Source organism: Homo sapiens, chromosome 2, assembly GCF_000001405.40.
Source record: "Homo sapiens chromosome 2, GRCh38.p14 Primary Assembly".
Taxonomy (NCBI): Eukaryota; Metazoa; Chordata; class Mammalia; order Primates; family Hominidae; genus Homo; species Homo sapiens.
The window spans coordinates 121,229,588-121,243,494 of record NC_000002.12 but is presented as its reverse complement, the minus strand read 5'-3'; the positions used below and the strand labels follow the sequence as shown (position 1 = coordinate 121,243,494).

The 13,907-nt window shown below is 53.3% G+C and overlaps 1 protein-coding gene across 7 annotated transcripts in view; it reads left to right on the top strand.

The window, feature by feature from the left end:
• The window catches only part of TFCP2L1 (transcription factor CP2 like 1), a 68,616-nt gene that overhangs the window by 41,708 nt on the left and 13,001 nt on the right, over window positions 1-13,907 (top strand). For 3 of the 7 annotated variants that reach the window (NM_014553.3, XM_047444020.1, XM_047444021.1), the window contains exons 7-13: window positions 1,026-1,136; window positions 3,846-3,937; window positions 5,645-5,693; window positions 5,779-5,872; window positions 8,184-8,274; window positions 9,301-9,404; window positions 11,527-11,669. In NM_014553.3, the coding sequence (NP_055368.1) occupies window positions 1,026-1,136; window positions 3,846-3,937; window positions 5,645-5,693; window positions 5,779-5,872; window positions 8,184-8,274; window positions 9,301-9,404; window positions 11,527-11,669 (684 nt within the window). The other 4 variants (XM_017003903.1, XM_017003902.2, XM_017003905.2 and 1 more) reach the window with 4 other exon arrangements.

The window sequence follows — 13,907 nt, the reverse complement described above, 5'->3', positions numbered from 1 at the left end:
TGCTGCTCACCTTCTGTTGTGGGGCCCAGTTCCTAACAGGGCATGGGACCGGTACCGGTCTGTGGCCCAGAGGTTGAGGACCACTGCTGTAAGAGATGCTCCCTAAAAACCCTTGATCTGGGAGCCGAAAGCTGTAGCCTGAGAAAGGTGCCCCCTGGAATGAAAATCCCTCAAGGTGCCGTTGAGCTTGAACTACTGTTTTCATTACCTGCCCACCACATGTAGCCTGCTGTGTGGGTAGTAAAACTGCTCGGTTCTAGCGCTGCTCGGAGTCTTTACATCTGACTTCGCCAAGTAGGCATGAGGTCATAAGATGCACATGCTCAGGAGACTACATAGCAAGGTCGAGAAGGCGCCCCATGGTGGTACCTGCAGGGCCAGCCTGCGATGCAGCACACTTGGCCACTCTCACTTGGATCCTCTCCCATCCTGATGAACCCCTTGAGCCTCAGTTTCCCACTCTGTAAATGAAGGGAATAATAATAGCTGTGAAGCCTGTACACCCTTTGAAAGTTGCCCCGGTTTGCAAAGCACCCATGATTGTCAGGCTCTCTCTCTGGATGGAGACGTTCCCCTGCAGACAGAGTGTAAGCTGGGGCTTAGCGGGAGTCCTGAGAGTTGGGGGTAAGGAGGCCTTCAGCTTATGGCCAGGATTTCTCAGGTTGCAAGCACAGACTAAATCCAGACCAGCAGCCTGTACTTCTTCCACTTTCCTCTGCTCTCCCTGGGTAACCCAAGGAATGCACTGGGATTCCTTGTGGGTCCCCAAGCTTCCTTTTCATAAGCGAGTGGCCATGGGAAACAATCTTTTCCCCTTGAGCAGCAGAGTGCATGACCCGTGGCAGGTTCCGAGTTCCTCAGGTGGGGAAGCATTCAGGCAGAATGGGAGGGGAGATAGGTGCTGTCCTGCCCCTGAGTTCCTCCCTGCGCCCTGGGGCCCTGGGTGAGGTGGGAAGCAGGAGAGGGCTTGGGGGCTGCTGCCTGTGTTGGTTTTGGGCTGATTGGACTCTGTACTCTGCTCGCAGCCGAAGGGAGCCGATCGGAAACAGAAGACTGACCGGGAGAAGATGGAGAAAAGAACTGCCCAAGAGAAGGAGAAATACCAGCCGTCCTATGAAACCACCATCCTCACAGAGGTGAGCCGGCTGGGTGCGGGGACAGAGCCTCCAAGGGTCTTCCACCAGGAGCAGGGCTGCTGGTTTAGATTCTTGGAAAATCGCCCATCTCGGGTGACTACTTCTGAGAGTGCTTATTCTGTTGTGGTGGGTTCCAGTGTCTGGAGCTCGTGTTCATCTGATAAGACCCAGTGGCCCGGGAGGTATTTCAGAAATAACTTCCAGCTCTGCTCCCTTTGAATGCATTTGTGCTTTCCCAAATTAGGTTCCCTTTTTTTTTTTTTTTTTTTTTTTTTGAGTAGGTAATGTATTCACATGGTTTTGAATTCAAAAGGTACAAGAGAGTGTACAACAGAAAATATCCCTCCCAGTGCCATCCCAGCTTCATGGTTTCTCCCCTCCAGGGCAGAAACCTTCTGTATCTGGCCCAACTTTGTCTGCAGGTGAAGCCAGTGTAGACACGTTTGCCCCATGCCTGCATTTATATACCAACAGTGTACATAGACACAACTTGCTTTTTTCCATTATTAGCTTATCTTGGTGCCTGATGCCTACAGCTTTCTAGTTCCTTACCCAGCTGCATGGCATCATGTGTGATGGCCTGTTGGTGGATGCGGGGTTGTTTCTGGGCTCTTGGAGTTTCAGACAGTGGTGCAGTGAATAACTGTGCATGTGAAGGTCTGCACATGGGAAGCAATTGGCAGGTTTCCATTCTCAGTGGGATCTCTGGGGTTGGAGGGTGTCAGCACTTGTTATTTTGCTGTCTGGTTGCATTTTCTGTTAACCCTGACAGCAATGCCAGCCTGCTCCAACCCTCCATATGTCCATGGGAACTCCTGAGGAGCTCGCTCTTCCTCTTCCCTTTTTTTTTTGTTTGTTTTTTGAGACTGAGTCTCGCTCTGTTGCCTAGGCTGGAGTGCAGTGGTGCAGTCTTGGCTCACTGCAACCTTCATCTCCTGGGTTCAAGGGATTCTCCTGCCTCGGCCTCCCCCAGTACCTGGGATTACAGGCATGTGCCATCATGCCCAGCACATTTTTTTGTATTTTTAGTAGAGACGGGGTTTCACCATGTTGGCCAGGCTGGTCTTGAACTCCTGACCTCAAGTGATCTGCCCACCTCGGCCTCCCAAAGTGCTGGGATTACAGGCGTGAGCCACTGCACCTAACCTCCTCTTCCCTTTACGAGTTGCAGCTAGTGCCTCCTTTTTTACAGGGAATTTTTGTGCAACTCTTTCCCACTGTGTTCTGCAGTCAGGCTGACTGATTGGTGGTGGTGTTTGTTCATTGAATAATTGGACTTCCTCAGAAGGCCCTCCATGTGGTAAGGCCCCTGCCGGCCGTGGTGGGATTAAGGCTGTTAGGGGTGAGGCTTGAGGCGTCTAAGAGAACAGTGGCCCGGTCTTGGCTGACGAGCAGCTGTATGTGTGTATGTGTGTGGACATGCAGGAGGGTATTTGCAAGAAGACAGTGTAAAAGCTAATTTTGTGGTCAGATAGATGTGCACTGGCATTTTATCTGACTGAAGGTCAGTCACCTGCCTCCCCCACGGCCCGCAAAGGAGTGGCAGGATGCAAGCACTGCATTTATGGATTAGAGGCCAGACCAGTTTCTTCCCGTACCTGGTTCATGCCTGTGCTGGTGCCACTGCCCAGAGTGTTCCCCACCTCCTGATACCATTCTCTCCCTAACAGCCTCAACCTCTCTGCTCCTCTGCTGACTGCCCCTGGGAAGAGAGGTCCTGGTGAGCCACATGCCAGGTCTGTCCAAGCCCTTGCCACAGTGCAGCGTAGTTGAAAGCCCACCCTGGGAGGCACCGGCTGCCACTTCTATCAGCTGTTCAGCTTTCCTCCTTGGGCTGTAGGATTTAGCACCAACAAATTCGAGCCCACACTCACAATACTTAAATATTTACCAACACTATAGTTTGGTGGGTGATAGTAAATCTTCGGGAATGCTTCAAATTGGCCCTCTCTGAAGAGGCATCATCGCAGGGAAGGGAAGAGATGAACTTTTTCAGCTGGATAGACTTTCTCCAGCAGACAAAACCTGTAAACCCTTGCTTCCTTTGGGAGACTCCACATGCATTTGTGTTTGGCTTCCATAGTAGAATGTTTTCGAGGGCAAGGATCACATCTTTCATGTTTGTGGATCTCCCTTAGCCCCCAGCAGAATGCCTGAAATGGAATGAACACCATCAAATTTCACCGAGAGGAGCTGCTTTTGGTGATTGTGCAAGAGCCTCCGCCCCTGTCAGCAGATTCTTTTTTCAAATAGCACAGGTTTTAATACTGACTCTTACTGCTTATTTTTTTGTTTGGAAGTTGCCTGTGGTCCAGTACTCCCTATAACAGACATTTACACGAATTTGTCTCTCCCAGGAAAAGCTGTTTGTGAACAACTGGCTGGTTTCGTTTTTTCTCTCTCGTGGACCCAAGAATCACATGACTGTGATGTTTCCCCTCTGGTTTTACTGCTAGGAAGCCCAGAGAGACCCCTTGGGTACTTCACTTGCTCCAGGGGTGACTTACTGAACATTTCTGCTGGTTTCCTTCATGTGGCCCTCGTAACCTGCCTTGCCGTGGCTCACTGTGGGCACTGGGTAAACGCAGGCTGCGTTTCACAGGTGGGGGTCTCATGCATTGGTGTCAGTGCATGCCTGCTTGGGAGGACCTGGGGAGCACGGCTCAGCGCCTCTCCAGATCCCAGCTCGCCCTGTGCTCTCTCCTGCAGTGCTCTCCATGGCCCGACGTGGCCTACCAGGTGAACAGCGCCCCGTCCCCAAGCTACAATGGTTCTCCAAACAGCTTTGGCCTCGGCGAAGGGTACGTCCCACCTCTCTTTCTTCGGGTTCCCTGAAATGAAGGCAGGTGTACTTTCCTTTCTTAGTCTTCCTTTCTGGGTCTCCTCTCCTTTCTGTTTGGGTTTCAGGGTAGCTAACTCGTGTTGCAGTCACAACTGTCTTCAGCATTTACACAACTTTTAGTGCTCAGAAACACCCCTGTAAACGTTGTCGGGTGGGACAGCGGCCCAGAACTTACCTGGTGAAACCAGGACTGGCTTGAGGGTGCATGCGGTCAGCCACCCAAGACAGCCTCTGGTGCCCTCTGGGGCAGAATGGCCCTCCTGACAGTGGTGCCTTAGGGAGCAGCTGTCTGGGGGGCCTTTCCTGGTTCTTTGTCCAGCATGGTCACTGAGTGTGGGGGTGAGAGGGTCTGGCTAGGGTCCTCTCTGCCTTGGGTTTCAGGCCTTACAACACAGAAACTGGCTTCATTGCTGTCCCACACAGCTCTGCAGACACACAGGCCACATGGACCCTGAGGATGCTGTGACAGGACAGTCACTCTCCTGAGTGTTGTGGGCTGCACAGCACGGGGCCATGGGTCACCGTGATGGCTCTGCATGCCCTGTGCTGGCAGCAGGGGTGGAGGCAGGAGAGTGGGTGGGAGGCTGCCTGTTTTCTGCTTGCAGGTTCGTCAGAGCCCATGCTTGGCAGACAGAACTTTTCTAATAAGAAAGCGAGATTGTCTGTGAACTTGATTTTACCAAGGAGTCCCCAGGGAAGCGGGGGTAGACACAGAAATGGTGTCATGTTTAGATTCAGGCAGACCTAGTCTTCAATCTGTACCTTTTTGGGGGTAACTCCCTTAACCTCCCTGAGACTCAGTTTCTCTACTACAAAAGGGGGTTAAGAATTCTACACAGGGTCGGGAGGAACAAGTGTACGATGCTTGCACCCTGTAGACACTTGGCGAGAAGTGGCGGCTGTCTTCACTGATGACCGGTCTGGGGATCAGCCCTGCGAGGGTCTCTTTTTCCCATTATGGAGAAATATACATAACACAAAATTTACCATTTTTAAGTGTGCAGTCTGGTGGCATTAAGTACATTCACACTGTTGTGCAGCGTTCACCGCCGTCCACCTGGAGAGCGCTCAGGTCTGTGCCTCATCCCCAACCTGGCCCCCGAGGAAGCTTGTGCACCCCCTCTCGGGAGAGAACAGAACAGTGCTTTTCCTCGTGGATGGATGTCAAGCTGCGGGTGCTTGTTCACTGCAAAATAACTCCCCGTGGGATTCTTATGCCCTCTCCCCTCACCACCTGACAAAGGGTTTGGTGGAGGACCCTTGAGTTTGGTGGTAGCCTTCAGGTGCCAAGGCTCTGGGTGCCCTTGGTCAGCGTGCCTTTCCCTGGGGCTGGGGCTTTGAATCTCCAAGTTCAAGACCAGCAGGGGTCAGCCAGCAGGGGCCTGGGATGTGTTGCCGGTGACTCAGGGTAGAGGAGTGTCATTGACTGGGGCAGTGTAGCCTATCAGAACTTGCTGTCTACAATGAAGGCTCAGTTAGGGATTTTGAGGGATTGGACATTGGCTCCTGCTGTGTTTCTGTGACTCAGGAAATTCTTGAGGACTCATTTCACTTAGAACAAATCCTGCATCTGATAGGAAGTAAAAGTGCCAGGCTGGGTGCCGGGACCGTGGCCATTGCCCTGGGAGCCCCCTCTGTCCTCATCACTGGTTCCTTTTCCTTGCAGCAACGCCTCTCCGACCCACCCGGTGGAGGCCCTGCCCGTGGGCAGTGACGTAAGTGTCTGAGCAGGGCTTTCTGGCTGGTGGTCCCTCGTGGGCCCTGAGCCACCATCTCAAGGCCTCTCCCCTCTGCTCACAGCACCTGCTCCCATCAGCTTCGATCCAGGATGCCCAGCAGTGGCTTCACCGCAACAGGTTCTCGCAGTTCTGCCGGCTCTTTGCCAGCTTCTCAGGTGAGCATCTCCGAACTGTGTTTAAAGCCCATGAGTATCTTGGAGACACTTCAAGGCTGGCCACCTTCCAGGCCTTGCTGTCAACACTGGCAGCGCTGTCGTTTCAGCTGGGAGACCCGAGATAGTGTGGGTTCGCTCGCTCACGTGCCCCAACCCTGGGCCAAGTGCTGGACATAGGTGATGCTGCCCCCAGAAGGTCCCAAGTGAGTGTGACTTGAGGGGGACCATCTGGGTGACTTGGTCAAGATCTCCTCACCTGCGGGGGGTTGGTGGGCTCTGGTCTGTCCAGGAAGAGTCCCCTTAGCCCGGCAGGGTGATGCAGGGCCCCTTATGCTTTTCCTACCCAAATACTGCTCCTCACATTGGCTCCAGAGCCACGACCTGGGAGCTGGAGGTGAGGCCACAGGTGAGACAGAAAGGGGGCTCTTCCTTCTTTAGAAAGTGTCAGAGCCCTTCCTGATGGGCCCTCAGACAGAAGTCCCAAGCTAGGTATTGTGGAGTGCAAAGGTGAACTGAGCAGTGAGCCTTGTCACCAAGTAGAGTTCATCCACAGTGACAGAGTAAAGGCTTGGCCACAACTAGAGGAGCGGATGCCACAGACACCTGTGGCAGTGGAAGAGAAACGACGCCCGCACATCCTCAGCTCGGCATTGCTGAGAGCCTGTTGGGGGAGGGTCCCTGTCCTTGGGAGCTTGTAGCTGTAAGTCAGTACAGATGCATAAACCACTCATTTCGGTGCAGCGTGACTTGTGTGATTGGAGTGGGGGTTCAGAGAGGACCCTGCACTGGACTGGGTGGAGGTGGGGGAGGAGTGCCGGCTGTGTCTTAAGTAGGGCAGTCAGCCACCATGTGGGCACCTGCCTTATGTGGTCACAGAGCAGGGGACCCAGGTGGAGTGGAGTGGAGTGGCCCGGGGAGGAGAGGTCAGAGAGGCACCAAGGGACACGGACAGGATGGGGGCCCTGGAAGAACAGTGGAAGGACTTCGGCTTTTACTCCCAGTGGAAAGGAAGCCATTGTGTCTATAGAATTGTACCTAAAACCGTATCTTATTGTGATGAGAGGAGAGGAGTGGGAATTGTGGCCTTGGGCAGGCTTTCACCTGAGGCTGATATACTAGTACCTTGGAGAGTGTGTGGGACCAGGCTCTCGGGGACCCCTTGGGCTTTGAGGAAGGGGCAGCCCTCACGCTGTGCTCACTTCTGTCCCCATGAGACGGTCACCTTCCTATGTTCCTTTAACTGTGGGCCCGTCCTCACATGCTGCTGGTGGGACCATACATAGATGCAACACTCTGGGAAACTGCTGGCAGTATCTGCTAGAGCCAAACACACCCTGTGATCCCGCAGCCCTCTCCGGGGCTAGACCCGGCAGACACGCACCTTGTGTAATGAACAAAGACATGTATGAGAACGTTCAGAGAGCCTATTCATAACAGCCCAGACCTGAAGCCCCCCCAGCGCCCATCCACATAAAGTGGGTATGTGAATTGTGGTGTAGTCACACAATGATAGGTAATAACGGGCATGAACACTCTGACTACATTCCACACAAATGCACCGTGAAACATGACTTGCGGGGAGGGAAGCCAGACCAGGAAGAGTGCCTACCGTTCAATTCCATGTACAGAAACTTCAGAGAACATGCAAAACGTGTCTGCACTGTAGCAAGTCAGGATAGTGGCTCCCCTGGGTGGGAGTAGGGGTGGTGGCTGGTACGAGGGGCCTACAGGAGGCTGGCAATGTTTCACTGCTGGCTCTGAGTGCTGGGTCCTGGGGTGTATTCAGATTGTCAGCATCCAGCGAGCTGTATACTTCCACATACAGACAGATGCACACATGGCCAGTGCCCTGTGCTGATGACATCTATGCATACAGATTATATGTCAAAAAAAAAAGAGAAGAGGCCAGATGCAGTGACTCATGTCTGTAATCCCAGTACTTTGAGAGGCTGAGGTAGGTGGATTGCTTGAGCCCAGGAGTTCAAGACCAGCCAGGCTAGGCAATATATTGAGACCTTGTCTCTTAAAAAAAAAAAAAAAAAAAAAAAGAAAGAAAGAAAGCAAGCAGGGCAGGCAATGAGGCAGTGGGGACCTATTGGCTTCTGTTGTACTCACTGTTGTGAGCACTGGCACTTCCTGGGCTGCAATCTTTTGATGTTGTTGAGCATTTTGCCATTTTCTCTCTGTGAGATAGTGCAGCTGGCTCTTCCCCACCCCCCACCCCCAGTGCTATGGGGTCTGCAGCTGGTTGGGGACCGAGCCCTTTCTCTGGGTTCCATGTAACAGGCATCCCCGTTTTTTTCCTGCCTAGGTGCTGACTTGCTGAAGATGTCCCGAGATGATTTGGTCCAGATCTGTGGTCCCGCAGATGGGATCCGGCTCTTCAACGCCATCAAAGGCCGGTAGGTGTTGGTTTCTCTGTGAAGCCAGCCAGAGGCTCATGTCCCGTGGCATGTGGTGGGAAACCCCTACCTCAGCCTTTTGGATGGTGGGTGGTCTGGCTGGGGGGACAGGACTCCTGCAGTGTGGGGTCAAGTGTAGGAGGAAATGTGGCAAGAGGGGCACGGGCCACAGCAGGGGAGTGAGACACTGCAGTGGGAGATGTGGCCAGCTGCCGCAGACCCTGCCTGGAGGCCCCTCCCTCTTCTTGGTTGGACGAGAGCCTTGGCCTCTGGATCTCGGCCTCTGAGCCACTTGCCCATGTTCTCAGATGCTTGTGTGGTCCTGGGCTCGGAGCTGCTCCCCCGCTGAGGGGAGCTGTGGACTTGGGGCTGGTCAGATGGTATCATGCAGCAGTTTCAGGGGAGACTCCAGAGCAGCGCCGTCCTGCACACCTTCCTGCCATGGCAGAGACGTTCTGCAGCCGTGCTGGCCACATGTGGCTGTGGAGCACTTGGACCGAGGCTGATGTGATGGACGAAATTTTTATTTAACTTTAGTGAATTTAAGTTTTAATAGCCACACATGGACAGCATGGTTTTAGAGTGAGAGCCTGGGTTTGAGTCCCAGATCTGCCTCTTAGGTGCTGTGCAGTGAAGGGAAAGCCCTTTGCCCTCCGAGCCTCAGTTTGCTCAACTGTGGAATGAGAGCGATAGTCCTAGCTCCCTTGCAAGTTTTGTGAGGATGAAATGAGTTACGCATGTTCTGAGAACAATACCTGATACACAGCAAGCCACAGACAGTGTTTGCTCTAATTGTTGCCTGAAAACGTCTTGTATGTTGAGCTTCATGGTCTGGGGCAGAGTGCCCCTTGGCAGGCTGCGGGACCTGGGAGGGTCATCCACCACCCCATGACAGGCACTCCACGTCACCACCGCTGTCTTTCTTCCTCCCTGAGTTCTGCCCACTATTGTTTCCATCCTGGAATATTCTGAAACAACTGCGCCTGGTCCACCACACCTATTATTTATTTTCTCTTCTCCTGCCAGGAATGTGAGGCCAAAGATGACCATTTATGTCTGTCAGGAGCTGGAGCAGAATCGAGTGCCCCTGCAGCAGAAGCGGGACGGCAGTGGAGACAGCAACCTGTCTGGTGAGTTGTGGGGAGCAGAGCTGGGACCCACACATTGGGTCCCGCAGCCTGGCTTTCAAGCCCGCAGTCTGGCCTCTGTTCATTTCCAGTGAATGTGCAGGACAGTCCTGGGCTCCCACATGCCCACACGTGGAAAGGGCAGCCTAGTGCATGCTCCTTGCATGGTGCATGGTCTGACCTCGTGGCGGCCCCGCAGTGTGGGTGCTGCCTTAGTGCACACCCCGAGGCTTGGGAAGGTGTTGGGATTGTCCCAGATCTTGCTTCCAGTCAGTGGCAGTCAGGATTGGAGGCAGGAATGCCCACCCTGGAGCTTTTTGTTTCCTCAAACTGCTCCTGATGCAGCTCCTGATGAGAGGAGACTCTCGAGGACCTCAGAGGCGTGGCTGTCAGCCTTCCTGCTCCCACCGAGCACTCCCAGTGGCCATGGTGAAAGGCGTCAGCCTGGGATCCTGCTAATTCTTTTTGCTGGCAGCTTGGTTTGTTTTAGGAGCAAAATTGTGGCTGGGTGTGGTGGTTCATACCTGTAATTCCAGCACCTGGGGAGGTGGGAGGATTGCTTGTGCCCAGGAGTTCAAGGCCAGCCTGGGGAATATACCAAGACCAAATCTCTAAATATTGAAAAAGTAGGCTGGGCGCCGTGGCTCATGCCTGTAATCCCAGCACTTTGGGAGGCCAAGGCGGGCAGATCACTTGAGGTCAGGAGTAACCCCATCTCTACTAAAGAAAACATACAAAAATTAGCCATGCATGGTCACACCTGTAATCCCAGCTGAGGCAGGAGAATCATTTGAACCCGGGAGGCGGAGGGAGGTGGAGGTTGCAGTGAGCCGAGATCATGCCACTGCACTCCAGCCTGGGTGACAAAGTGAGACTCTGTCTCAGGAAAAAAAAAGAAAAGTGCACACCCCCACACCTGGCTAATTCTTGTATGTTTTTGTAGAGATGGAGTCTCATTCTGTTGCCCAGGCTGGTCTGAAACTCCTGGACTCCAGAAATCCGCCTGCCTTGGCCACGCAGAGTGCTGGGATTATAGGCATGAGCTGCCACACCCACCTGTGTGTGCTTTTAAAATATTGGGCCTCTGATGAGGTTTGTTGAACCAAGGGTTTCTCAGGTGAGGGAAAGGCTTAAGAATCTTGAATTTAATCCAATTGCATTTGCTTTTGAGGAACTTGAGGTCCCTTGAAGTTGAGTAACCCACCCTGGGTTGCCGGTGGCATTTGCTCCTGCCTGGCTGGTGCAGGCCGTCTCTGTGTCAGTGTCACTGTTTTCTTCCCACTTGCTGACACCATGGTGCCCTCCTGGTGCTCTCTTCTCTCCTTAGGGTTACTGTGTTGAGGCTGAGTATGGTTTGTGTTGCGGGCAGGGGAAAGACCAGGCCTTCTCCTTTCTGTTGTCAAGTAATAGTTCCTTTTAACTTTCACTCATTGCCCTCCAGCTATCCAAGAACCCTTTAAACAGCAAAAAGAGCTGAAAAGGGACAGAATTTGTTGCTTCCTTCTGATGTGGGTTCACATCTGGCTGCATGTCAGAATTGCCTGATACTCCCTTCAGCCCATCTGGGTGTCACTGGGCTGGGGATGGGTCTAGGGATCTCTGCATTTCACATAAGCACCCCAAGAGAGACCGAGAGGAATCAAGAGTGGCAGCCTGGCTGGGTGCAGTGGCTCATCCCTGTAATCCCAGCACTTTGGGAGGCTGAGGCGAGCGGATCACCTGAGGTCAGGAGTTTGAGACCAGCCTGGCCAACATGGTGAAACCCCATTTCTACTAAAAATACAAAAATTAGCCAGGTGTGGTGGTGCACACCTGTAATCCCAGCTACTGGGGAGGCTGAGGCAGGAGAATCACTTGAATCTAGGAGATGGAGGTTGCAGTGAGCCGAGATCACGCTGCTGCACTCCAGCTTAGGCGACAGAGCGAGACTCCATCACAAAACAAAACAAAACAAAACAAAACAAAACAAAACAAAACAAAACAAAAAGAGTGGCAGTGTGGTCCTGCCCCGCCGCCCTGGGTGTGGCATTTTGACAAAGGACTTACTGCTTTCTCAGGGCGGGTGGGAGGCTCACACTGACAGAATGGCCACTTGGAAAGCAGCACTTGCTCCTCCTTCCCCCAGTGTACCACGCCATCTTCCTGGAAGAGCTGACCACCTTGGAGCTGATTGAGAAGATCGCCAACCTGTACAGCATCTCCCCCCAGCACATCCACCGAGTCTACCGGCAGGGCCCCACGGGCATCCATGTGGTGGTGAGCAACGAGGTGAGGGCTGCTGCCTGGCCTGCCCCGACAACGGGCTCTGGGCCACGGGAGGAGTGTCAGAACCCCTGCCCCAGAAACACACTTGGGTTTGGGAGTGACAGACAGGTTCATCTGCACACCACCTGCAGCTGTGGCTGTCCGGGGCTGCGATGGAGAGTGCTGAGGCCCCGTCTGGGTCCAAATGGCTGCCATGCCAAGTAGGCACTCCTTACCCCTCCTGGGCTGGGTGCCCGGTGGGAGCCAGGAGGACAGACTCCACTCTGGCCCAAGGTGCTTATAGTCAGGGCTGTGGAGGTCAGGAGAGGGGCGTTCCCCCAGGGTGGGCGACAGTCCCCAGGGAGAGGTGAAGTGGACTCCGGGGCAGGTGTTGGCGAGGCTGTGGCTTGTGGGAGAGGAGAGCAGAGGCCTCTGCCAAGTGGTGAAGGTGCCACAGCCTTCCCAGGTGGCACAGGGCAGTGTAGAGCACAAGCAGCTACTGGCAGAGGGCTCAGGTACTGTGGTCTCCAGGGATCTGACCCGCTCATGGCTAAGAAGCGGGTGTTGAATATGCCTGCCAAAGGGTTAGGCATTCCTTGCATGATGTAGAACAGAGGCTTTTAAGTTTGTTCTATCCTGGACCCCTTCCACCTAATAACAGGAGTGTGTACTTGTTTTAAGTGTATGCATAGCGACTTATTTAATCCTGTCTGCCTCTATATGATGTGGGTGTTATTATTATCCCATTTCACAGATGCGGGCCTGAGGCACAGAGGCTGAGTAATTGCCCCAGGTTGAACAGTGGGTAAGGGGTGGAGCTATGGTGGGAACCCAGGGATTGGAGCTGCAGGGCCCAAGCTCTGAGCCTGTAAGGTACCCAGCCCCTGCTGAAGTGAAGCCTTTATTTATTTATTTTAAAATTTTTATATTAAAAAGAATTGAGACAGGGTCTCGCTGCATTGCCCAGGCTGGTCTTGAACTCTTGGGCTCAAGTGATCCTCCTGCCTCAGCCTCCCAAAGTGCTGAGATTATAGGTGTGAGCCACCATGCCCAGCCTTTTGTTGTTGTTGGTTGTTGTTGTTGTTGTGAGACAAGATCTTGCTCTATCACTCAGGCTGGTGTGATCTCAGCTTACTGCAACCTCCACCTCCCAGGCTCAGGCCATCCTCCCACCTCAGGCTCCTAAGTAGCTGGAACTACAGGCACTCACCACCACGCCTGCCTAATTTTTTGTAGAGACAGGGTTTTGCCATGTTGCCCAGGCTGGTCTGAAACTCCTGGGCTCAAGTGATCCACCCACCTTGGCCTTCCAAAGTGCTGGGATTACAGGCATGAGCCCCTGCACCAGCTGAAGTGAAGCCTTTAAACATAGAGCTGTGGCTGGGTGCGGTGGCTCACACCTGTAATCCCAGCACTTTGGGAGGCCGAGGTGGGCGGATCACCTGAGGTCAGAAGTTTGAGATCAGCCTGGCCAACATGGAGAAACCCCTGTCTCTACTAAAAATACAAAATTAGCCGGGCATGGTGGTGCATGCCTGTAATCCCAGGTACTCGGGAGGCTGAGGCAGGAGAATCGCTTGAACCTGGGAGGCAGAGGTTGCAGTGAGCTGAGATCATGCCATTGCACTCCAGCCTGGGCAACAAAAGCGAAACTCCATCTCAAAAACAAAACAAAGCAAACAAACAAACAAAAACATAGGACTGTGCTGGTGGGAGCGGGATGGGATCGTGTGCCCCCAGTTCAGCCCCCAGCAGACCCCGAGCCCTTCTGGGAATTCTGAAGGCCTCTGTATAGAGGATTATAGAGCCCCACCTGACCCTGGACTAGCAAAGGAGTGGTAGGACACAAGGCCAGTATTTGTGGATTAAGACTCCGATTTGTTTCTTCCCATCCCTGGTCCTTGCCTTTGCTGGTGATGCTGCCAAGAGTGTTCCTGACCTGGTGATACTGAGTACAGAAACAGTGGCTGGGAGAAGTAGAGAAAATGCAGGGTTTGGAATTGGACTGGTGTCCCCACCTGAAACTACCTCCTAGTTGCTGAATGACTTTGGGGGAAATTTACTGAACCTCTCTGTGCCACAGTTTCCACATCTGCAAAACAGGGATGCATATACCTGTCAGACTGTAGTACAGATAAGGTGGGAGAACAGTGGCAGGTGCCAGGAGACACTAAACAAGTCGTGGGTGGTGTCATTGACTGTGATTCTGCAGGGCACTTGTTATTTGGGGGAGCTAGTGGTGGAGAGATCTTTTTAGTTTTG